The 25,039-nt window shown below is 36.6% G+C and overlaps 1 protein-coding gene and 1 long non-coding RNA gene across 5 annotated transcripts in view; one reads left to right on the forward strand and one right to left on the reverse strand.

Annotated features, from left to right (window-relative positions):
• The window catches only part of VCAN (versican), a 110,559-nt gene that overhangs the window by 52,134 nt on the left and 33,386 nt on the right, over window positions 1-25,039 (forward strand). For 2 of the 4 annotated variants that reach the window (NM_004385.5, NM_001164097.2), the window contains 3 exons: window positions 13,130-18,391; window positions 21,660-21,773; window positions 24,094-24,207. In NM_004385.5, coding sequence (NP_004376.2) covers window positions 13,130-18,391; window positions 21,660-21,773; window positions 24,094-24,207 — 5,490 coding nt within the window. The remainder of the gene's footprint in view (window positions 1-13,129; window positions 18,392-21,659; window positions 21,774-24,093; window positions 24,208-25,039) is intronic. The other 2 variants (NM_001164098.2, NM_001126336.3) reach the window with 1 other exon arrangement.
• VCAN-AS1 (VCAN antisense RNA 1) overlaps window positions 7,475-25,039 on the reverse strand; it is a 30,963-nt gene continuing 13,398 nt past the window's right edge. The window contains exons 2-3 of the long non-coding RNA NR_136215.1: window positions 10,222-10,296; window positions 7,475-7,539 (exon numbers count right to left, since the gene is read on the reverse strand). This is a non-coding gene — a long non-coding RNA (VCAN antisense RNA 1). The remainder of the gene's footprint in view (window positions 7,540-10,221; window positions 10,297-25,039) is intronic.

Here is a 25,039-nt window from a genome sequence, read left to right on the forward strand (position 1 = left end):
AGACAGGAATATAACGGTGAAAGAAAAACAAAAAAGAGGTAAAAGGAAGCAAAAAGTAAATGACTACCAACACTTAGTTTCATAATTTAAAAAAATGCTTGAATGGATATGCAGATTGTTTTTCAATTGATACTACTCTGTTAGTGTAGCTAATAAGTTGAGTTGAATAATATAAAACCCAGTAAAAATGTTCTGCATTTAAAAACTCTTCCAAGTGGGAAACTGCCAGTTAGGAAGTCAAATTACAAAATGGAAAAAGTGAAACTTGATCTCTCTGAAAGAATTGGCAGTCATCAAAAAAAAAGAACTAAGTTATAAATGGTTGCTGGAAGTGGAGGGTCTGAGTAAGCTAAACCTGAAACAATTTATACAAAGGTGTACATTTATAAGTGAGTTGTGGACTTGATTCAGCTAGACCTGGGAGACGTATATAGGTGTTTCTTCTCCTTCTGCTTCTAAAATGTGAGACTATAATCCACCTTGAAATTAATTTTGTTTTGCATAATAATATTAGGTCAGAAAACCGTGCAATACTTGGTTACTTCCATCAGGCAGAATTCTAATGTGAGAGTGTGTATATGTGTGTACAACAAGGGGATGTATCTGTGGAATAATTATGTATCTACCTACCTACCTACCTTCCTACCTACCTACCTGCGTACCTACCTACCTACCTACCTACCTACCTACCTACCTACCTACCTACCTGTCATCATCTGTATTTTTGTGTGTTCTGTATATGCTGTTCTCCTTAACTAAAAGCATTGTTTATTGTCTTCATAAGACAATGAAGTTTACTCACCTCTAACTGCTCACCTATACTAATATTATTTATTTTCTATGAGAAATTTTATCCTCCAACATTTTGAGCTTTGGCAAGGGAAAATCCTAAAGCAGATGTTCAATTAATGAATTTCAAGGCAGGTGTATACCTTAATAAGGAAAAGTGCATATGTGCCTGGAGAACCAACCTTTTTATGTATCAAGGCACAATTTTCCAGACTGGAAAGTCCTTGGTGCATGTGTGAACTTGTATAAATCTATTCACAGGAATAGAATACACCTTTATATATACTGTATATCCAAGTAAGCAAAAATACCACCCATGCTATTCTAAACCAAGGCATTCAATAATTTTTTGCTGCACTCAGCGAGTCATATAAATCTTGTTTTTTTTTTTTTTTTTACTACTATGAAACAAAACATGCTACTCAGGACACACTTATGTTATACTTGCTCAAATGGATCTTAATAGCAACTTACGGTGCTCTAGCTAGAGGGCAACTGTAGTTAGCAGTTAAAAAAATCTGAAAGAACTTTTCAGCTCATAAAAGTTTTATGAGCTGAAAAATGCTATGGGGTGTGTTTAACAGTGGTTCAGGGGATACTGAAAACTTTACTCCTGTCTATTTCAGGAGTAATTTGCACACCTGCATTTTGAAAAATTATTGAAAGGCTTTCTTTGTGAACATGCATGAAGGCCAGAATTTGAAGCTGTAGGAAGAGTTTCTTCAACTCCAGATTTTTTTTAAAAGAGCACTCCTCTAAATCACCTGAAATGTTACAAGGTAGTGGAACAGAACTGTGAATGTTTTTAAAAACTGACAAACAGGTATTTTTAAATCAAAGAATAATTTAGAAATGTATGGATATTAAATACCAACATTATTATGCAAATGCTCTTAGTTATAACCTTAAAATAGGCAGCTTATTACCTTTTTTAACAAACAAATTCATATATACTACTTATTATGTGTCAGGCCTGCTTGATGCTGTCTTGTTAGGTGTTCTTTTTCCTACTGGTTTTGTAATTTGTATCTACCCAAATGTATGTGTGCAGGTGAAAAGCAATATTAAATTAAATGATAGAAAGATTAAGATGTTGGTAAAATTATTAATGTAATGCTATTAAAGATTAATTACATTTTGAGAAATATACAAAAAGCTAAAGGCTTATTGTCTAAATATGGTGTTATGGAGAGGATAAAGAACAAGGAACATTGGCTCTGAGGGCAGGAGCCATCTGGGCAGATACCCATATTTACATCATTGATTGCAGAGTCATCACTTTTTTTTTTTTGCGACGGAGTCTTGCTCTGTTGCCCAGGCTGGAGTACAGTGGAGTGATCTCGGCTCACTGCAATCTCTGCCTCCTGGGTTCAAGCGATTCTCCTGCCTCAGCCTCCCGAGTAGCTGGGATTACAGGCGCCTGCCACCATGCCTGGCGAATTTTTGTATTTTTAGTAGAGACAGGGTTTCACCATCTTGGCCAGGCTGGGCTTGAACTCCTGACCTCATGATCCACCTGCCACGGCCTCCCAAAGTGTTGGGATTACAGGCATGAGCCACTGCGCCCAGCCAAGTCATCACTTTTTAAAAGGTAATGTTTATTTAAGATAATCTCATATAATTTTTTAAAATCACACATTTTCTGTTCTTACAGAATTTTAAAGAACATTTTAATTATAGAAAAATTACTTTCTGATTTGTTATTATAAGATCCAGGTCCTTTCTTCAAACAAAATGTTATTGAGAGCCCCTGTATCTTGAACAGACAAAAGAGTAGCTGTGTTGGTTAATGTTTGAGGGGGACATCGAGAACCTCACTCCCTTGGGACCTCCTCATCTCCTGTGGTGGTTTTTAAAATAACATGTACCTCACAACACAGCTAGAAAAAGAATGATATCTAGACCATTCAAAATAAAGCAAAAACAGTTACTCATTCCTGAGAGAATTAAGTTCTTAAAAGTAAAAATGTTTCAAAAATTGGTCTGATTATCTATATCTTTATCTCATTACAATGATACACATTTAACATTTACCTTTGAATAGCACTATGCATGGTGCTGAATAAAACACATTAAACAAATATTGTTTCAATCTTATTGATGCCTATGTGTCATCAAGATAATATATAATGGTATGTCAGAGTCTCACATGTATGTGCAAAACTAAGTCATCATCAAACTCACACTTCGGGCTTCATACTTTCAGACCACTTTTTCTATATATTATCATGTTTAAACTTCAAAGATAATTTGTGAGACAACTAGGGAAAGCAGATAGTCAAACGAAGGTACACTGAGTCTGACATTCTTGGCATTGGGTCTAGCAGCCCTGGCCCTCTTTGGAGCATTTTTGCCATGAAGTGATTCTCTCTCCTGATGAGCTCTGAGAAAACAACAACCCCCTGCCCAATGGCTTAGGTACTGCCCTGTCTGTCAATTCCTGAAAGAGCAAACTCTGGGAAGACTGGTTTCTCATTGGCATTCTAGTGGTTTGTTAAGAGTATATAATTTAGATTTGGTTGCTGCTAATATGGGGCAGTATGCATGCTCTTCAGATACCTGACATAGCAAGGAAAGAGTGTGCTGAAATTGGTAGTACGTTATTCTGCAGTTCTGGGCAGCTTCTTTCCTGTAGAGTTTTGGAGCACATCTCTGAAAGTGGATGGGTCTGGTGCCTGCACACCTCCGTGGTTCCTTTTCCTGAGCTCCAGCTGTGGCTGTCTGTCAGAGAAGCACATTTTTCTGCAGATAATTAGAATGGCTTCCCCCATCTCTCACGGACTGTCCCAAGTCTAGAAAAGAATTGAGTTCCTCTTCTATTAGTCAAATAAAAGGGAAGAGAATGTTTGTCTTCCTTTCCTTTCTGTAGTGTTAAGAAAATAAACGAACTTAATGATTCTAAATTATCAGTGAGCTTAACACTGTACTATAGACCAAAGATTACCTTTTCAAAAAGTCCTTTGAGGTGAAATATTTTGTATACGTAATACATAGATGCACATATAAACACACACATATAGAATCTCAATATTTTAACACTTCTTTGGGTAGTTGTACTAACTCACTAACCCTGAGGAAAAAGTTAAGAAATTGAAAGTGTTTTCTTCAAAAGTTGAGATTTAACAATAAAAGGTGTTACTTTGATAACTAAAAGGAACTTTATTATCCTCTTCCTAAAATAAACCAATGCCTATTCTGAAAATGGCACTTGCAATTACAATTTGCCATTATCAAAGCTACCACTGAGGTAGAGGCATTATCTAAAACAAATACCACTTATCATTTATTGGCAGTTACCTCGAGAGAGACCCATACACCATCTTCTAGCAGAGCACAGTCAATCAAATTACCTTCGGGTAAAGCTATAGCATGTCTAGTCGTTTGACAGATATTAAAGGTGGTCATAAAAGAAACATAAACCATAGGCTGTGCTCCAAAGGCATATTGGCCAGCTAACATTAACACAATCAAATACAGTTGTCATACTAAACATATAGTTACACAGTAGGTGTATGGTGTGACAGATTGTGAATGGTAGGTGAGGTCAGAAAAAGAAGGAATCAAGAAAGGCAGGAAGTTACAGAATATTTCATGAGAAAGAGGAGACTTACGTCAGTCTCTGTTGGAGGGATAGATTACAATCCAATTATGAGAGGCCAGTTATTAGCCAATTGCTTCCCAACTTAGGCTCACCAGTGGGGTTAAGGAGCCCCAAGTATAAACAGCTGTTTTTCTAAATAGAGTTTCTAAACAGCTTCTGAAGGAGGCCATGTCATCCCAGTGCTGTTTGACATGGCCTGCTTCAGAAGCTGAATACCTTCTTAGGCCTCACGCAGAAACTAGTACAGTTCATGAAAACCCGAGATACTCTGCCAGCTTCTTGAGGAAGCAGTGTTGTCACACTTTTCTGAGCTTCAGTGATTCACACATTTTGATAAGACAGCATGTTCTGTGGGTTAAGTACATTTACCTTTTCAAAATATACTCCCATGAAGTATCATGGTTCAGAATTACACACTTACAAAGTTAAATGGCATAAAACTACTTTGTAAAAAGTGCCTACACTCTAAAAGGTGATTTAAAGGTTTATGACATCTTAATTCAAGTGAATACTGAATCAGTAGGATTATAGAGCAGGTGCTCTAAGTTAGGGAATCTGGAGTCAGTCTCTCCTTTGCTTATGTGCAATGTGGACCCAGGGATTTCTCAATTTCTCTGTCAGAATTTTTAACATGGTAAAATGGCTATTATTATATGGAATGATATTTCCTAAGCTCTGACACATACTCTTTCTCCAAATCACAGGGTTTATGAAACAAAGATACACACACACACACACACACACACACACACACACACATATATGTATACACACATATATACAGGTAATATACAGATATATTTTTTCTAATTTATTCAACAGTCAAATAATTACAATATACTAACTACATTAGAACTGGATTTTTTTGAAGTACATTCTGGTTAATATTCTGAACCAACATGGAGATGTAGTTAGTTTGCTTTGTAGGATACATGGAAGAGGCAGTTATTGTGATAGAAAGAGCCTTTGGAAAGAGACCTGGGTTCACTGTCAACATTGTTACAGGAGGCACTCTGTATCCACAATTCTGCATCCTCTGATTTGACCAAACATGGATAAAGAATATTTGAAAAAAAAAAAAAAAGCACCACAATAAAAAAGAACAATACAGCAATAAAAAATAACACAAATAAAAACCCAACACACTATAATAACTATATAGCATTTACATTGTATTAGTTATTATAAGTAATTTAAATGATTACTTATAATACCTGATTTAAAGTATATGTATATGAATGTATGCGTAGGATTCCTGCAAATACTATGCCATTCTATAAAAAAGGACTTGAGTACCATGGATTTTTGTATCCTCCTAGAACCAATCCCCCATGGCTACTGAGGGATAACTATATTTACAGTCTGTTTGGTCTTGTATAAATTACTTAACCTCCACAGGCCTCAGTTGTTATATAATTAAAAATTTATAATAATACTACAACCTCACCACATTGGTTAAAGAAGGGGATCTTTGAGTGATTGCCACATGCAAGTCACTGTGACAGGCATTTCACATATTTAATACTCCTTCAGTGACTAGAAAGCACCAAGCACAATGCCTGATACATAGTAATGACTTAGTACAAATTAATCTCCTGTGGGCTTTAAAAATTATTTCATTTCCAACTTCTAAGTACAGGAAAATATAGACTGTTTTGTTCTAAATAGGTAAAAGCCAAATGATCTTAAAATTCAAGATCATTTATGCCACAAGAAGCCAAGTATAATTGTACTTTAGTGTCTGCTTAACTGAAATAACTTCTTAAAAATCCGAACCCGACATAGGTTGTGTTTTTTTGGGTGGTGCCATTTTGGGTGCAAATCAGAAGCAGCTGCAGCCCTTACTTAAAATTTAAATATAGTATTGGCTCTATAGGACCTAAGAGTAGAATTTATTAGCTTTTTGCTTTTCCTCAGTTGTGAAAGTTGGGCTTATGATTTTGATAACTACCAATTTAATTTTTTTCTCATAAACATCATTTTACAAATTCTTGATACATTTCCCCAGGTATTGAGCCTAGCTTCTTGCATATTTATAGAATGAATGGACATTCCCTGCTGTCTTTTTGTTGTTGTCAAGGAAACCCCCAGTTCTCTACACAGGGATTACATTCTTCTTTCTTAATAGCTCTTAGATCGTTCATTTGTGCAATGAATAAAAAATGTACTCACAGGTCCAGACAGTGTTCAGAACTTTTTTGGTGGGTGAGGGGCGTAGCTAAGGGGAGAGACATGCCTAGTGAGAGGAGCAATAGGAATAAAAGAAAAGGAGAAAGAAATGCTGGCTGAGGTTCCATTTTAATGAGGTAAAGCTGAAAAATTTATGCTTTAAAAAAGACATTGCCTATTTTTGTCACTTTAGAAAATGTATAACATTACTTTTCATTGAGGTCAGTGTTTCATGTACAAAAATGTTAGTTTTTAAGTGGCTTTGTTAAGCGAATAGCTCCAAGAATGGGGCCCAGGTTGGTGAGGGTGGGATGGATGAGGGAGTGGTGATGCGTTTTAGTAGAAACTATTTTTTCATTTCTATAGAAGTATTTGAACTTTTTTTACAACCTAATTGAGGTGATACAAAATATAAGAATATTCCTTCATCCTGGGGCATCATGTGGTCATCTGAGAGCTCATTTGATTACATTAAAAATCGTGTTCCTTAGAGAGAGAGTGCCAGTATTTAGACTTTTTGAGTGTGAATCAGGAGGGAAACACACATCCATTGACAAGAAGATGGATATAATTATTTTTAAAAAGAGTGATTTGATCCTTTGGAGGAAAATAAATTCTGGTGGACCTTCTAAGTAACTGCTAGAATGATTGGGTAATGTATACAGCTTTTGCTTCTCCATAAATAATGTAAGTATTAAAAAGGAGATTTTAAACTAGAAGGAAGGAATCTCTGGAGTGAGAGGAAAAGTTTAATTGTATTTCAGTATCTATGTCTATGAAAAGTTGATATACGGTGTCACTGTGGTATACCCAAACTTGTTTATACACATGTATAACCAGTACACAGTAAGTACCATGAGTGGCTTTTAGTGATTTTATCTTTTTACCTTGTAGTACAGTCTCCCTGGTGTCTCACAAGGCTAGTTTACTTACTTTGGCCATATGCTTCACATAGTAGGTTTCTGGAGGTTTTGTTTTTTCTAAGATGAGAGAGTGAAAAGGTAATGTATATTTCTGGAGAGTATATTGGAATATAGTATAATCATCATTTTCACTATGCTGCACTTCGGGACGGCTGTCTATTGTATTTTTTAAATAGGAAAACAAAATCTTTTTGTTACACATTAAAATAAAATCCATTTTAAAAAAGAAATGTGATCCTAATATATCTCTGCTGAGTAGATTGGTGTACATTTACGTTTAATTAAAAGCTCTTAAACTTAAATTGTAAAATTCCCCAAAGAGAACGTGAACTTTAACCAGCTGCCTATGCATCTTAGCAACTATGTTTTGTGTCTGGTAACAGTATGACTGGAAGACTTGTGCTCTGTCTACAAAACTTTGTTATGAAGTACTTAAAAATACTTGTGAATAATTTGAGGTCAGCTAGCAATAAAGCTTTGTGTGAAATGTCATTAAAAAAAGCCTATTAACCATGGTACTGTTATATTCAAGTCAAGCTGTTAAAATACATTCATATAAACATAGAAAAGATTATGCATACACCCTGTAGAGTTCTGTGGTTTGATTCTTGAAATCCAAACAAAAGTTATATTGCCTTTTGAGTAAAATTCTAGAATAGAGCAGTCTTTTATAAGACTAAGAGCTTCATCTAAGAGCTTGAAATGTCAATTACACCATTGGGTTGCTCTGTTCCTATGAAATAGAGCACATCTCCATTTCGGAATGAGATACCTCCTCTCACAGTAGCACAGGTGTACCCCCCAACCCCCTTACTATACACCGCAAAGAAACTTTTCTGGTTTGCAATAATCTCTGTTGAGATTCTCTAATAACGTGTGTGGTGGGTGGAGGTGGTGACAGGAAATGGGGATGAAGAGGTAATTTCAGAGGAAGAATAAACTAAGAGGGGGCAAGTAGGATTTGGTGAGATGCAAGGAGTTAGTGACAAATATTTGGGTGATAGGGCAGGGAAAAATTTATCTGCATATATTAATAGTAGATAGGTTTTATACCCCACCTCTCCCTGCTATGAGATGTTAAAAGTATGGGAAGAAATTATACTGACAGAATAAAATTTAGATTGTATGTATAGGAAATGTCAGCAGAAAATTTTAACTTGAAAGCCCTGGGTAATTAACATTTCTCTCTCCTTCAAACTGATATTAAGAAATCCAGCCAGGTGCAGCGGTACACACTGTAATCCCAGCACTTTGGGAGGCTGAGGCAGGAGGATTGCTCAAACTCAAGAGTTTGAGGCTGCCTGTAATGGTACCCCTGCACTCTAGCCTGGGTAACAGATCAACAACCTGTCTAAAAAAAAATTCAATAAAACCATTTGCAAGTTGTCGCGAACTTATTTAAAGAATAATAATAGTTGCTTAATTGTGAGACTATTACTTTCAGAAAAAGGAAACAAAATAATTTCAACTCCCATTTTGCATATTTTTTGAAATTAAAGAATTCCCATTTAGTAGACAATTTTTTTTCTGGGGATCTAATATACAAAATTAAGACTGTAGTTAATAAAATTGCATTGTATTAGAGATTTTGTTAAAAAAGTAAATTTCAGTTGCTCTTCTCACAAAAAGATGGTATATATGTTAATCTGCTTCCTTTTACCATCTATATGCATCCCATAACATCATATTGTAAACCTCAAATACACAATAGAGTTTATTTTAGAAAAAGAAAATTTCTATCATACTTATTAAATGAGCATATTATTTTATTTATATGTAGATTTTCTTCTCAATTACTTAATTTATTTTGATGTGCTGCCAGCTTCATGATGAGAAACATAAGATGAAACTGCATAATACATTTCTGTTTTCTATCATTTTGAAGGCAAGTCAGATCAAATAGTTGCGAGGTGGGTGGAGAAAGGAATCCTAATCTAAATTTAATGATTAGTACATTTGCAATAAGTACATTCCAAAAGTTTCCCATTAAAATAGGAGAAAAGAGTTTAGTAAGGCCAGTTCTCTAACTTACTGGCAGGAACATTTGTTTCAGAGAGAGAGAGAGGAAGGGGGCAAGGAGAGACTTGGAAAGTATAGTTAGGTCTCTCTGAAGTTGACAAGAGAGTGTTTGCCCTAGGGTCTGATACATAACAGGTACTCAGTAAATTTTGAGAAATCAATGAGCATCTGAAGAGATATTACATTCTGGGCAGCATGCATGGTTGTGGTGGTAGTGAATTTAATTTTGTGTGCAAAAACCGATATGAAGCAATGCTGTGTTTGTGAAATGTATGCAAAGATTCTGTCTCTGAAATGCTTATACTGCTGTGATTGAAACATTATCATATTTATTTAGGTTAGAAAATGGAATTTACTACATCTGAGTTGGTTTTTGGTGAGAAATTCTGATATGATAGTCTAAAATGGCAAGGAAGTCCTTATAGATCTATGAGCAATTGGAAGTGTTAGAGTTCTTGATCTGAGAGAAATATGACCTAAAAGAATATTATACTTTGTTAATTGGAGCTAAAATCAGAAACTATAAAGTGAATGCCATGGTCTTTAGTAGAATTAAGTATTCTTAATATGAGTTGATAGTTAGCTAAATTATTATACAGTACTGATTTACAATTAGAGTTCTTCTTTATTTTCTTTCCCAGAGGAAAACAAAAAATTTCAGTGAGCATTATGACCATCCATCAGTTTCTTACCATATTGACATGTGACATGTTGGCATACCTTTGTGTCTTCTTTCTCTGCTTTTCTCCACCCCACTTTTTTTAGAGCCACCAACATACTTGACAGAACTTCCATCTGTAATTACTCAATAAGAAGATCATGAGATATGTTTGTATCAGTCTTATTTTTTTGAAGTAAAGAATTTACTTAGAAATTCAAGTAAATCTATAATAGCAATGAGTGTTCTTACCCTATTCTTGGCCTAGGAGTTTGTAAATATACAATATTAATCAGATATTTCCTTATTTATCCTTGTGTTTTGCTGGAGAAACCCAGCTGAATGGCTCGTTTTAACTTCATTATTTACAAAAGGGTACAAAATATGGTAGAGGTTCTTTATATGCTTGACACTGACCCATGTTTCTTATTTAAAATCTTTTCTCTGTACTTAAATGAAAGTTTTGGTGTCACCAAACAGGGTAAGTAAGAATTTAGTGTACCTTTGTCTAATATTTCTTAATCATGAATTCTAGTTTTATTTAAGTTAATGAAGCAAAATAAAAGAGTTGCTTGCATGTAAAATGGTAGTGTGAGCAGTTTAAGATATGCACATTTTTAAACTCCAGTTAAATCCCATGAAGTTGTACTGAATAGTTTAACTGAGTCTGGCTTAATTCAACTATATTCAAATAGTTTTAGCAATGAGAGACTCCTGGCTTGGATAAAATTATTGATGTGAATATTTCAAGAGATTCTTTTGTACAGAAGGCATTTTAAATGCTTCTGCTCATATAGTTTAAACATTTTCTTCACATTCTGTTTTCATAGCACAAAGTTTACCTTCAATGCAAACTGAATTAAGAGGATGTTATCATCTGAATATTTTATGGTGTCCTATTTTAAAACATATACACCATGGGTACTATATATAAGATCCGAGTAACAACTTTAGTGACCTAATATTGAAGAAACCTAGTCTTTTTAGTTACCTATATTTTTAAATGACAAGGCATTTAATCATTTTCCTGCACTGAGCAATTAGTAACAATTGCAACATCTGTGTCAGAAATAATCTGTATTCATTTTATGTTTTTATAACACACTAGAGTTATGTATTTATCTCGCTTCTCTTTGTGGTAGAAATATTTTCTCATTTATTTGAATACCCATATGCTGTAGTTTAAGTAGTTGAAAAGCTGAATATACAGAATGGAATGGAATGGAGAGAGAAGAAATGAACTGTAGTGTGTAAAATTTCAATAGGAAGGGTGTTTAGTTAGGATAAGAATAACCCAGTCCTACACAGAAGTATTTTAGTGAAATAATTTAGTGAAGATGTGGTGGGATACAAAAGAGAGTTTTCTTTCTTGTTTCTATTAGAATAAAAGGGATAAATGTATATGTCTTTGCATTACATAAAAGTCTTATTGTCTGGGTTTTTTAATTTAAAAAAAATTCAAGGAGCTTCTGTGGAATTTGTCTTGGTAGTTCCTACACTTCTATATTTGTCTTGATTCATAAAATAGATTAGAATATAAGCAACACTGATTCCTCTTCAATAGGGTTTTTTCTTCTCTGATGAAACAGCAAAAGCTAGATATTGTTTCTTCTATACATAGAAGGAAATAGCTTCTTGCAACAGGAACAATTCAGGAGAAAACAGTTGTTTTCTCCCCTTTAGATGATAGGTTGGGAAGCAGGGTTGGCTCCGTCATAATGATTTCTCCTAAACACTTCTCAGGTTTGGCCTATGCATGTGTGTTATAGATTGGGGATAGTTTGAAAACTCATTCTGTAGTATTATTCCTATGGGCAGGGTGGTGAGTAGTGTGTAAATTCTTTGTCTTCTTTATGGGTCAGTATATCCACAGGCACATTTTCATACTGCTTTGTCACTGAAAGTAAGGCAGCTGCAGTGGCAGGACCCTGTTCTAGGACAGTTGAATGCCTCTATGATGAGACCTCAGAATTTCCTCTTTCCTAGTGCCCAAGACAAGGAGCTTTGCTGATGTATTTCTGATAGCAGAAAAGGCCATTGAGCTTAGTGGTTGGTACCATATGGCAATTTACAATCTGGGAAATATTCTGATGATACATACTTTTCGAGGAATGCTAGTTAGAATATTTAGATAGGACTCCTGAACTTTCTTTGAGAAGATGTTGATGACAAGAACTAAAATCAGCCTAATCTGGGTCACATCCCAGGAAGGATAAAGGTCTATAGGTGTGGAAGGCTCTTTCTGGTCCTTTCAGTGAGCTATTTCCAATAGAGCCCGCCTATCCAGAGCTTCCCACTCTTGTGCATAGGATGTGGTTAAGCTCATGTCTCAGTGCCACAGTAGGTAGAGGATGCCATTGCAATGTAAAAGGGCTATAAATAAAGCTCTCTTGTTTTTCCATAAAACAGTCTGCTCTAGAACAGATTATAAAGGGGCCAGAAGGAATCTCTTCTCATTTTCTTATTGAATAGAGAGTGTATAAATTATTCCCTTACATAAAGGACAATTACTTTTTCTATATAGATCATATATAGAAATAGAGCTATAGAAAAAGTAATTAATTCTATATGATATGGCCTCAATTTTTAATTTTTAAATTGTTTTTATATGAAATAGTCTTAATTTTACTCTTTTTGCAGTTCACACAAAGATGAATTCCTGCACTTCAAGATTACATTGTATATGTGATTCCTTGCTTCATTTTAAGGACTATGTTGTTTTCTTAAATGTGTTGATGAGTCTTTATAACCTGTTTTAATAATGTTAAATTGAATTCATTTTTCTTATTGTTAATACAAAAACAGTAAATTTGAAGACTGAGAACCATATAAGAGGGTGATTGCACTTATTATGAAAAGATTTGAATCCTTCTTTGTGTGTGTGGGTGTGACCAGCCTTGCTATCAATTTCTTCTGTCATACACTGCCAAATTTTCTATTTAAGTATTGTGAAAACTCTGTTTTTTTCAGGTCGAATGAGTGATTTGAGTGTAATTGGTCATCCAATAGATTCAGAATCTAAAGAAGATGAACCTTGTAGTGAAGAAACAGATCCAGTGCATGATCTAATGGCTGAAATTTTACCTGAATTCCCTGACATAATTGAAATAGACCTATACCACAGTGAAGAAAATGAAGAAGAAGAAGAAGAGTGTGCAAATGCTACTGATGTGACAACCACCCCATCTGTGCAGTACATAAATGGGAAGCATCTCGTTACCACTGTGCCCAAGGACCCAGAAGCTGCAGAAGCTAGGCGTGGCCAGTTTGAAAGTGTTGCACCTTCTCAGAATTTCTCGGACAGCTCTGAAAGTGATACTCATCCATTTGTAATAGCCAAAACGGAATTGTCTACTGCTGTGCAACCTAATGAATCTACAGAAACAACTGAGTCTCTTGAAGTTACATGGAAGCCTGAGACTTACCCTGAAACATCAGAACATTTTTCAGGTGGTGAGCCTGATGTTTTCCCCACAGTCCCATTCCATGAGGAATTTGAAAGTGGAACAGCCAAAAAAGGGGCAGAATCAGTCACAGAGAGAGATACTGAAGTTGGTCATCAGGCACATGAACATACTGAACCTGTATCTCTGTTTCCTGAAGAGTCTTCAGGAGAGATTGCCATTGACCAAGAATCTCAGAAAATAGCCTTTGCAAGGGCTACAGAAGTAACATTTGGTGAAGAGGTAGAAAAAAGTACTTCTGTCACATACACTCCCACTATAGTTCCAAGTTCTGCATCAGCATATGTTTCAGAGGAAGAAGCAGTTACCCTAATAGGAAATCCTTGGCCAGATGACCTGTTGTCTACCAAAGAAAGCTGGGTAGAAGCAACTCCTAGACAAGTTGTAGAGCTCTCAGGGAGTTCTTCGATTCCAATTACAGAAGGCTCTGGAGAAGCAGAAGAAGATGAAGATACAATGTTCACCATGGTAACTGATTTATCACAGAGAAATACTACTGATACACTCATTACTTTAGACACTAGCAGGATAATCACAGAAAGCTTTTTTGAGGTTCCTGCAACCACCATTTATCCAGTTTCTGAACAACCTTCTGCAAAAGTGGTGCCTACCAAGTTTGTAAGTGAAACAGACACTTCTGAGTGGATTTCCAGTACCACTGTTGAGGAAAAGAAAAGGAAGGAGGAGGAGGGAACTACAGGTACGGCTTCTACATTTGAGGTATATTCATCTACACAGAGATCGGATCAATTAATTTTACCCTTTGAATTAGAAAGTCCAAATGTAGCTACATCTAGTGATTCAGGTACCAGGAAAAGTTTTATGTCCTTGACAACACCAACACAGTCTGAAAGGGAAATGACAGATTCTACTCCTGTCTTTACAGAAACAAATACATTAGAAAATTTGGGGGCACAGACCACTGAGCACAGCAGTATCCATCAACCTGGGGTTCAGGAAGGGCTGACCACTCTCCCACGTAGTCCTGCCTCTGTCTTTATGGAGCAGGGCTCTGGAGAAGCTGCTGCCGACCCAGAAACCACCACTGTTTCTTCATTTTCATTAAACGTAGAGTATGCAATTCAAGCCGAAAAGGAAGTAGCTGGCACTTTGTCTCCGCATGTGGAAACTACATTCTCCACTGAGCCAACAGGACTGGTTTTGAGTACAGTAATGGACAGAGTAGTTGCTGAAAATATAACCCAAACATCCAGGGAAATAGTGATTTCAGAGCGATTAGGAGAACCAAATTATGGGGCAGAAATAAGGGGCTTTTCCACAGGTTTTCCTTTGGAGGAAGATTTCAGTGGTGACTTTAGAGAATACTCAACAGTGTCTCATCCCATAGCAAAAGAAGAAACGGTAATGATGGAAGGCTCTGGAGATGCAGCATTTAGGGACACCCAGACTTCACCATCTACAGTACCTACTTCAGTTCACATCAGTCACATATCTGACTCAGAAGGACCCAGTAGCACCATGGTCAGCACTTCAGCCTTCCCCTGGGAAGAGTTTACATCCTCAGCTGAGGGCTCAGGTGAGCAACTGGTCACAGTCAGCAGCTCTGTTGTTCCAGTGCTTCCCAGTGCTGTGCAAAAGTTTTCTGGTACAGCTTCCTCCATTATCGACGAAGGATTGGGAGAAGTGGGTACTGTCAATGAAATTGATAGAAGATCCACCATTTTACCAACAGCAGAAGTGGAAGGTACGAAAGCTCCAGTAGAGAAGGAGGAAGTAAAGGTCAGTGGCACAGTTTCAACAAACTTTCCCCAAACTATAGAGCCAGCCAAATTATGGTCTAGGCAAGAAGTCAACCCTGTAAGACAAGAAATTGAAAGTGAAACAACATCAGAGGAACAAATTCAAGAAGAAAAGTCATTTGAATCCCCTCAAAACTCTCCTGCAACAGAACAAACAATCTTTGATTCACAGACATTTACTGAAACTGAACTCAAAACCACAGATTATTCTGTACTAACAACAAAGAAAACTTACAGTGATGATAAAGAAATGAAGGAGGAAGACACTTCTTTAGTTAACATGTCTACTCCAGATCCAGATGCAAATGGCTTGGAATCTTACACAACTCTCCCTGAAGCTACTGAAAAGTCACATTTTTTCTTAGCTACTGCATTAGTAACTGAATCTATACCAGCTGAACATGTAGTCACAGATTCACCAATCAAAAAGGAAGAAAGTACAAAACATTTTCCGAAAGGCATGAGACCAACAATTCAAGAGTCAGATACTGAGCTCTTATTCTCTGGACTGGGATCAGGAGAAGAAGTTTTACCTACTCTACCAACAGAGTCAGTGAATTTTACTGAAGTGGAACAAATCAATAACACATTATATCCCCACACTTCTCAAGTGGAAAGTACCTCAAGTGACAAAATTGAAGACTTTAACAGAATGGAAAATGTGGCAAAAGAAGTTGGACCACTCGTATCTCAAACAGACATCTTTGAAGGTAGTGGGTCAGTAACCAGCACAACATTAATAGAAATTTTAAGTGACACTGGAGCAGAAGGACCCACGGTGGCACCTCTCCCTTTCTCCACGGACATCGGACATCCTCAAAATCAGACTGTCAGGTGGGCAGAAGAAATCCAGACTAGTAGACCACAAACCATAACTGAACAAGACTCTAACAAGAATTCTTCAACAGCAGAAATTAACGAAACAACAACCTCATCTACTGATTTTCTGGCTAGAGCTTATGGTTTTGAAATGGCCAAAGAATTTGTTACATCAGCACCAAAACCATCTGACTTGTATTATGAACCTTCTGGAGAAGGATCTGGAGAAGTGGATATTGTTGATTCATTTCACACTTCTGCAACTACTCAGGCAACCAGACAAGAAAGCAGCACCACATTTGTTTCTGATGGGTCCCTGGAAAAACATCCTGAGGTGCCAAGCGCTAAAGCTGTTACTGCTGATGGATTCCCAACAGTTTCAGTGATGCTGCCTCTTCATTCAGAGCAGAACAAAAGCTCCCCTGATCCAACTAGCACACTGTCAAATACAGTGTCATATGAGAGGTCCACAGACGGTAGTTTCCAAGACCGTTTCAGGGAATTCGAGGATTCCACCTTAAAACCTAACAGAAAAAAACCCACTGAAAATATTATCATAGACCTGGACAAAGAGGACAAGGATTTAATATTGACAATTACAGAGAGTACCATCCTTGAAATTCTACCTGAGCTGACATCGGATAAAAATACTATCATAGATATTGATCATACTAAACCTGTGTATGAAGACATTCTTGGAATGCAAACAGATATAGATACAGAGGTACCATCAGAACCACATGACAGTAATGATGAAAGTAATGATGACAGCACTCAAGTTCAAGAGATCTATGAGGCAGCTGTCAACCTTTCTTTAACTGAGGAAACATTTGAGGGCTCTGCTGATGTTCTGGCTAGCTACACTCAGGCAACACATGATGAATCAATGACTTATGAAGATAGAAGCCAACTAGATCACATGGGCTTTCACTTCACAACTGGGATCCCTGCTCCTAGCACAGAAACAGAATTAGACGTTTTACTTCCCACGGCAACATCCCTGCCAATTCCTCGTAAGTCTGCCACAGTTATTCCAGAGATTGAAGGAATAAAAGCTGAAGCAAAAGCCCTGGATGACATGTTTGAATCAAGCACTTTGTCTGATGGTCAAGCTATTGCAGACCAAAGTGAAATAATACCAACATTGGGCCAATTTGAAAGGACTCAGGAGGAGTATGAAGACAAAAAACATGCTGGTCCTTCTTTTCAGCCAGAATTCTCTTCAGGAGCTGAGGAGGCATTAGTAGACCATACTCCCTATCTAAGTATTGCTACTACCCACCTTATGGATCAGAGTGTAACAGAGGTGCCTGATGTGATGGAAGGATCCAATCCCCCATATTACACTGATACAACATTAGCAGTTTCAACATTTGCGAAGTTGTCTTCTCAGACACCATCATCTCCCCTCACTATCTACTCAGGCAGTGAAGCCTCTGGACACACAGAGATCCCCCAGCCCAGTGCTCTGCCAGGAATAGACGTCGGCTCATCTGTAATGTCCCCACAGGATTCTTTTAAGGAAATTCATGTAAATATTGAAGCGACTTTCAAACCATCAAGTGAGGAATACCTTCACATAACTGAGCCTCCCTCTTTATCTCCTGACACAAAATTAGAACCTTCAGAAGATGATGGTAAACCTGAGTTATTAGAAGAAATGGAAGCTTCTCCCACAGAACTTATTGCTGTGGAAGGAACTGAGATTCTCCAAGATTTCCAAAACAAAACCGATGGTCAAGTTTCTGGAGAAGCAATCAAGATGTTTCCCACCATTAAAACACCTGAGGCTGGAACTGTTATTACAACTGCCGATGAAATTGAATTAGAAGGTGCTACACAGTGGCCACACTCTACTTCTGCTTCTGCCACCTATGGGGTCGAGGCAGGTGTGGTGCCTTGGCTAAGTCCACAGACTTCTGAGAGGCCCACGCTTTCTTCTTCTCCAGAAATAAACCCTGAAACTCAAGCAGCTTTAATCAGAGGGCAGGATTCCACGATAGCAGCATCAGAACAGCAAGTGGCAGCGAGAATTCTTGATTCCAATGATCAGGCAACAGTAAACCCTGTGGAATTTAATACTGAGGTTGCAACACCACCATTTTCCCTTCTGGAGACTTCTAATGAAACAGATTTCCTGATTGGCATTAATGAAGAGTCAGTGGAAGGCACGGCAATCTATTTACCAGGTAAGATCACAACATTGATAAATCTGTTTCCAAACCTGGAAACAGTCCCTTGGTGCTAACGTTTATATGTATGTAATTTTTATTGTGATGTTAAATCAATGGAGAGTTTCATATTATTCACATAACAGCAGGCCAGGCCACAGTATTGAGTTCATAATGAGATGAAATGACAGTAAGTATAGATTAGTTTTGGACTTTAGAAGTAGACTTTGTATTTTTCTGGGTTTTAGAAATAATATACAATTACAACATGGAAAAGATGAAATTATTAATGTTATAAAAATTCAATTTGTTTTTACTCACAACTAGAGTATTGCTTTGTCATATGTCTCATAGTTATACATGTTAGGTTTAAAAGTAGAAAAAAAGTCCTATTTTTAAAAACCCTCCCATTGATGGATGCTATTGCTGTAGTATCAAAATCTGTCAGGCCTTTAACATTTGGGAGTAGTACGTAGCTCTAATAATTATTTCAGAGTTTGTGCAGTATCAATATCAGCTCATACTTATATGCAATGTCCTTGTTTAAGACAGTCTACATAATGCATCAAACACAGTGCCTACCAGTAGTGAGTAGTCATTTATTATATAAACATACTGCCTGTTGAGAGAAGTTTTCTGTGTATTTACTGAATGTATGGAAAGCATGAATTTGATACTGATTCATATAAGCCATCTCTTCTGATTGCCACGAAAAGGCTATAAAAGCCCTGTGTGAAAGGGTAAGAGGTGAAGGTTCAGAGAGGTTCAGCAACTTGCCCAAGGTGGCACAGCCACATTGTGGTAAAAGTAGGATTTGAACCCAGCTTAGCTCCACTCTAAAGTCCATAGTCTTTTCACTGCTCTTTGCTGGTTTCAGTATAGTATAAAAATAAACAATTGATATTGAATAATATATGAACCAGGAATCTTGGAATATTTACTTTGTAGAATTTATTTTCCTCTTAATCTAGCCTGAGAATGTTAAGAAATCAGCTCTAATGGTGTTTTCCCATAATGTTATTATTTAAATTAACAATGTCAGTGGAATCCACAAATAGACATCACCACCTAGCTGCTACCTGCAAAAAGAGGAAGAAAAATCAGTACTTTAATGTCTGTCTTGGTTGAGAATATATGTTTTATTTTAATATGTTTTATGCCATGACTATCGTTAAAATTATTCTTCTGATCATATCAATATTACCTTTTGTGCCACCAATGCTTTATTTTGATGTGCTTCAGAAAGAGTAAAATAGAAAGTACAATTTTTAATAAATGGCTTGAAATATTTTGAGGAAAATTGATCAAAGGTAGTTGACATTGGGTTTTTTGTTATCACTGTGTGTTAAATCTGTAAATGATAATCTAGTAATTTGGCTAATATTTATTGTTTTTTAATTTAGTTTAATATACTTCAGTTTGTTAAAAATATGATGTAAAAATAACTGGTAATAACTAGGTACATATAGAGTTAAGTTTGATGAATGAGAAATATGTACCAATTTTCCAGTTTACAATATTTACCAAGATTTATAGTTTGCGTCTTCATTGCAAAACAAATGGTCACTTTAGCTTAATTCAGTAAACAGCAGCTCATATGGGATTACCTGGTCTATCTGTTGCAGATTCAACTTTCAGAGGTTAATACGAACTGTTTAGGGGAGAATAACATTCATAAAAACTGAAGTTTCCTGTTAATTGGAACGACTTCCAGTTCACAGGAAGACTCACTCACTCAGTCCTTGTTTCATGGTCTCAGCATGGTGTCTAGTGTCAGTGGTAGGAATAGTAATAGTACTTCTTCACATTTGTGTGGCACATCACAGTCTGATAAAGCACTTTCACCTAGTGTCATTTGGATTCAGCACAGAGGGCAGCATGTGGCTATGGCGTGTGTTAACTGCAGCCTTGTCATCCTGGCAGCGAGCGTACTTGTACTTTAAAATTCAGAAAGCTAAAATTGTTAGGGAGATTTCAAATAGTTTTGGAACTATAGGAAAAAGTGTCTTAGAAAACTCGGGGGAGTTTTTGGAGAAGTTGATGTACTCATCTGAATTAACCTAATTTTAACGTGAATCCCAAACATGGGAATGTGTACCTATCCAGGTTTATAGTCATTCAGAATTTACTTAACACTCAGAAAGTTTGAGTTTGACTTTCTGGTGTGGGGAAGTCTCAGTTATCTTTTATAGCAGTACCTTGTTTATCCTGATATTCTTTAAGCTAATGTTTCATAAGAAGTTAGACATCTTTCTTCTTTCATGTGTAATTATTTCAGGGTTTCAGGACTTAAGATTCTTGAAAGTATGGGTGTATTCCATAGATAATCTATTTTATTTCAATTATTTTGTAAAACTTTCAACTCTCATTTGGATCTTTGAAGATTTAGAAATGTAAGCAAGTCTGAAACAATATACAAAGAATAAGTATAAACTCAATGAAAATACACTTATCCAAGCAATATTGCAATATAAAATATATGCTTCAAGTGGTGTAAAAGTGTTTGCACTTAGAAAATATATTTAAACTGTTTGTCCTCATAAATTTATGTCTTCGGCCTTCATATTTATCTCCCAGGAGTGTCGGTTTTATTTGTATTTTAATAAGAAAATTATAATAAAAACTTGGGGTTTCATTTTAGGTGAGGTTTTTGTATTTGGGTTTGTTTTTCTACAGTAGAGTTTAATCCATGTGTTGCTTTTCTTCAAGTATAGTTTAAAGGAGTACATTTGGAACGTGTTTTTGGAAAAAGCATGTTAATGTAGCAGAAGAGACTTCAGTGCACACTTTCGAAGAAAAACAGTTTCTGAGCATTAAGTGGTAAAAGGCAATAATAATTCAAATGATGATAACAAGCCAACCTGCTAAAAAGAATGCATGTTCTGTGTATCCAGCCATTTCACATGAACTAACCCCATTTAAAAGAATACATTTTCCATTCACTGTGCACATATGTGTAATCATTTTTGACTAAAATCAATTGCCATTATCATGCCAACTAAATCTGCAGTAGAATATATTAGTTGCCAGATACAGTACAAAAAATATCATTTAAGAGTAATCGTGATTGAATCCCAGAAATGAATAGATGCAATTTGTAACAATTAGTTATAATGCCAAGAAACACTCCAGAGAGTAAAGTTAATGTTAATTTTTATATGTAGTAACTCTAAATTGCTATGGTAAAGCCTATAATATGGTAGCAATATGGGGCGTTTTATGCTAAAATACACGCAAACATTAGAGACGAGCCTAACTGCTTTTCTTACTTTCCTGAATATGGTAGGACCTGATCGCTGCAAAATGAACCCGTGCCTTAACGGAGGCACCTGTTATCCTACTGAAACTTCCTACGTATGCACCTGTGTGCCAGGATACAGCGGAGACCAGTGTGAACTTGGTAAGATGGTACTTGGCTGAAAAGGTGCAGTTCTTTCACAGAAGATATATTGGGGGAGAATTTATGTTGTCGAATCAATCAGAGATTTCAAAGAAACCCATATGAAGATTAATTATATGTTAAATGAAGTTAAAATCTGAGGGTAATTAACTAGGGGCTGGAAAATGGGTACAGATATTCAGTGAATTCTGTTAACGTAACCAAGACTCAGTGAGGCCTGCTGAGTCTTCTTGTGTTTTTTACAGGTAGAATTTACAAATGTAAAAATGCATAAATATTAACAAAAATGTACATTTATCCCCCAAATCTGCATATAAATAAAAATCAATTTCAGTATAAAAATCTTTTTAGAAAGCTAGACTTAAAAATTAGGAAAATAATAAAAGTTAGAGAGCTTTGTCCTTAGTTTTGGGATAATTTTTCTTCTCATTTGGAATGGGAAAGACCCTTCCCTGACTCCCAGCAACCAGCCCAACGTGCCTCGGCCTCAGGGAGCTGTGCAATTGCTGTTCCCTGCCTCTCTTTTGGTTCCAAGGAATATAATTGACCCTCACACTCCCATATTCTTATTTAGGCATCCTTCTCTTTAAAGAAAAAAAAAAAGGCACCAGTGTTGATTTGGCTACATATAGACCTCACTTCTGAGAAAAGAATGATGAAATATGTTGTCCAGATGTCCCTTTTAGAGATATCATGAAGGTTTGCTTAATTTGCTTACAATGATTGAGTAAAGAAAGCTCACCAATAGCACTTTAAATTATACATCAATATTGCGATACAATCCCAACATTCATATTAAAAGAGTACTTAAAAAAAGTCAACGAGGCCAGCGCGGTGGTTCAAGCCTATAACCCCAGCACTTTGGGAGGGCGAGGTGGGCGAATCGCTTGATCCCAGAAGTTCGAGACCAGCCTGGGCAACATGGCAGAACCTCACCTCTGCAAAAAAAAAAAAAAATTAACCGTGCCTGTAGTCCCAGCTACTTGGGAGGCTGAGGTGGAAAGATTGCTTAAGCCCAGAAGGTCGAGGCTGCAGTGAGCTGTGTTCACGCTACTGCACTCCAGGCTGGGTGACAAAGTGTCTGGCACTCAGCAAGCACCATAAACATGTTTGGTATTATTACTATATAATATCATGTTTACTAAGACCATTTCTTTAGGTAAGAATACATTATATGACTAAGAAATTTAACTTGCTTTGTATATTCATTTAAAAATATTCTTAAACATTAAATTTTTAGTGTAATTGCAAAATGCTATGGAAATAAAGTCACTAATTTCATCAGGGGAGATCATATGTAGAAAGATTAGAATCTGTGTAGAAAGATTTTATTTGACATAGATTTTAAAGTTGGGAAGATTTGACAGGTGGTGGAGGGAGATATGGACACAACAAACAAAAGCACAGAGGCCAAAAACTACAGAAGGCATTTGAATGACAGCCTCGATCCAGGTATGCCTACTTAGGGGTTTGGGAGAGGGAGACGTATTGGGAGACAGTACCAGAAGGCAGGTTGGGTCTAGAAAGCCCTGACAGTCTAAGAAGGTCCTGAGTTCAGGATACTGAATAGTGTTACTTCACACTCTAGTCAAGTGATTCTGAGACCTTAGCATGCATCAGAGGGCTGGTAAAACAGATTGTTGTCTCCACCTCAAAGTATGTGATTCAGTAGATTTGGGGTGGAATTGGAATTGTGGATTTTTAACATTCTTAGGTGATGCTGATGTTGTTTGTGGTCCAGGGAGCTCACGTTGAAGACTGCTGCCCTGGGCAATTGGGATCCATGGAATGTTTGGAAGTAAAAGAATAAAATTATCATGACTGTGTCTAAAAAAGATGACATTTAGCAGAGTGATGGATATATTGGAGAGGAAAGGGCCTAGGGATGGTGAGGCCAGTTAGATACTTTGAGTAGTCCATGTGTGAGGTAATCAGAGAATGAGCCATGATTGGAGGTGGGAAGGCTGGGGCTGTTGATTCTTCATTCGTTTTAGGGCTTATCTGATTCATTTATCAGCAATGGAGACAATGGCCCTACTCTGAATACCTTTGACATTTTCTTAGGGTTGCCAAATTTAGGAAATAACAATTCAGGATGGCCACTTATATTTGAGTTTCAAGTAAAAACGAAATAACTTTGTAGTATAGGTTTGCCCTAAATATGGCACGGACATACTTATGCTAACAAATTATACTTTTTTTAAAATCTGAAATTCAAATTTAACTGGCTGTCTTGTATGTTATCTTGCAACCTCACACTAAATGGAATTCTTTGATACTTTTTGAAAGTATTTTGTGAGCTTTTACTATTTTGTTTCAGATTTTGATGAATGTCACTCTAATCCCTGTCGTAATGGAGCCACTTGTGTTGATGGTTTTAACACATTCAGGTGCCTCTGCCTTCCAAGTTATGTTGGTGCACTTTGTGAGCAAGGTAAGAGCTATTGCAACATTTGTATGATGAACATTATTGATTTTTTTTTAGCAATTTTGGCCTCAATGCATAATCTTTCCTGCAGTGGAAATTCACATTTCCTTAGGTTTCCTTATTCAGGGATAGCTCAAAACATCTGAATCATAGTGTTGACTTGATTATGGTTGTTTAGCTGATAGATTGGAATTGCAGGCAGGCAAACTGAGCTGAATTTAAAGACATCCAGCCAATAAAAGGAATATTATCGTATGTATTTTTCTTGGGGACAAACTAAGCACTGACCTTACTGTGGCTCATGTACGAAGGAGTACTGAATTCAATATTAGCTGTTTTTATTTTCTCCTCCTAAGCACTTGAGACTCAATGGACTTATTTTTCATAGTCAATCATATCTGGAGAATGAGTTGATATAGTTGTTAGAATACATTTGCTTTGGCACATGCTAAGTAGAAGATATTGTGAATCTGCTCACCAGGAAATTTTCCTACTAAAGAAGGATTGACTTTTTCTGAATGAAAGAAAGCCCTATGTTCATGATGGCTTGAATCTCATGATCCCTGTAATTTGCATTTTACGGCCAACCTGAGGGTGTATTTTAGGTGGTTAATGGGAGCATTTCTTGGTCCATCAATAAGAAACAGATTGCATGCTAAGCACACTCAGCTTTGGAATGTCGATTTCCTCTACTTAAACTCGTACAGTGGTTTGGCTTTGATAAAAGTGTTCAGTGCCAAACTTCCATTCCACCAGACAAACTGAAAATGCATTAGACACTCAGGCACATTGGTCTGGTCCCACATTCTGCTTCATGGTGTTAATCTGGATGTCACTG

This window comes from Homo sapiens, chromosome 5, assembly GCF_000001405.40.
Source record: "Homo sapiens chromosome 5, GRCh38.p14 Primary Assembly".
Taxonomy (NCBI): Eukaryota; Metazoa; Chordata; class Mammalia; order Primates; family Hominidae; genus Homo; species Homo sapiens.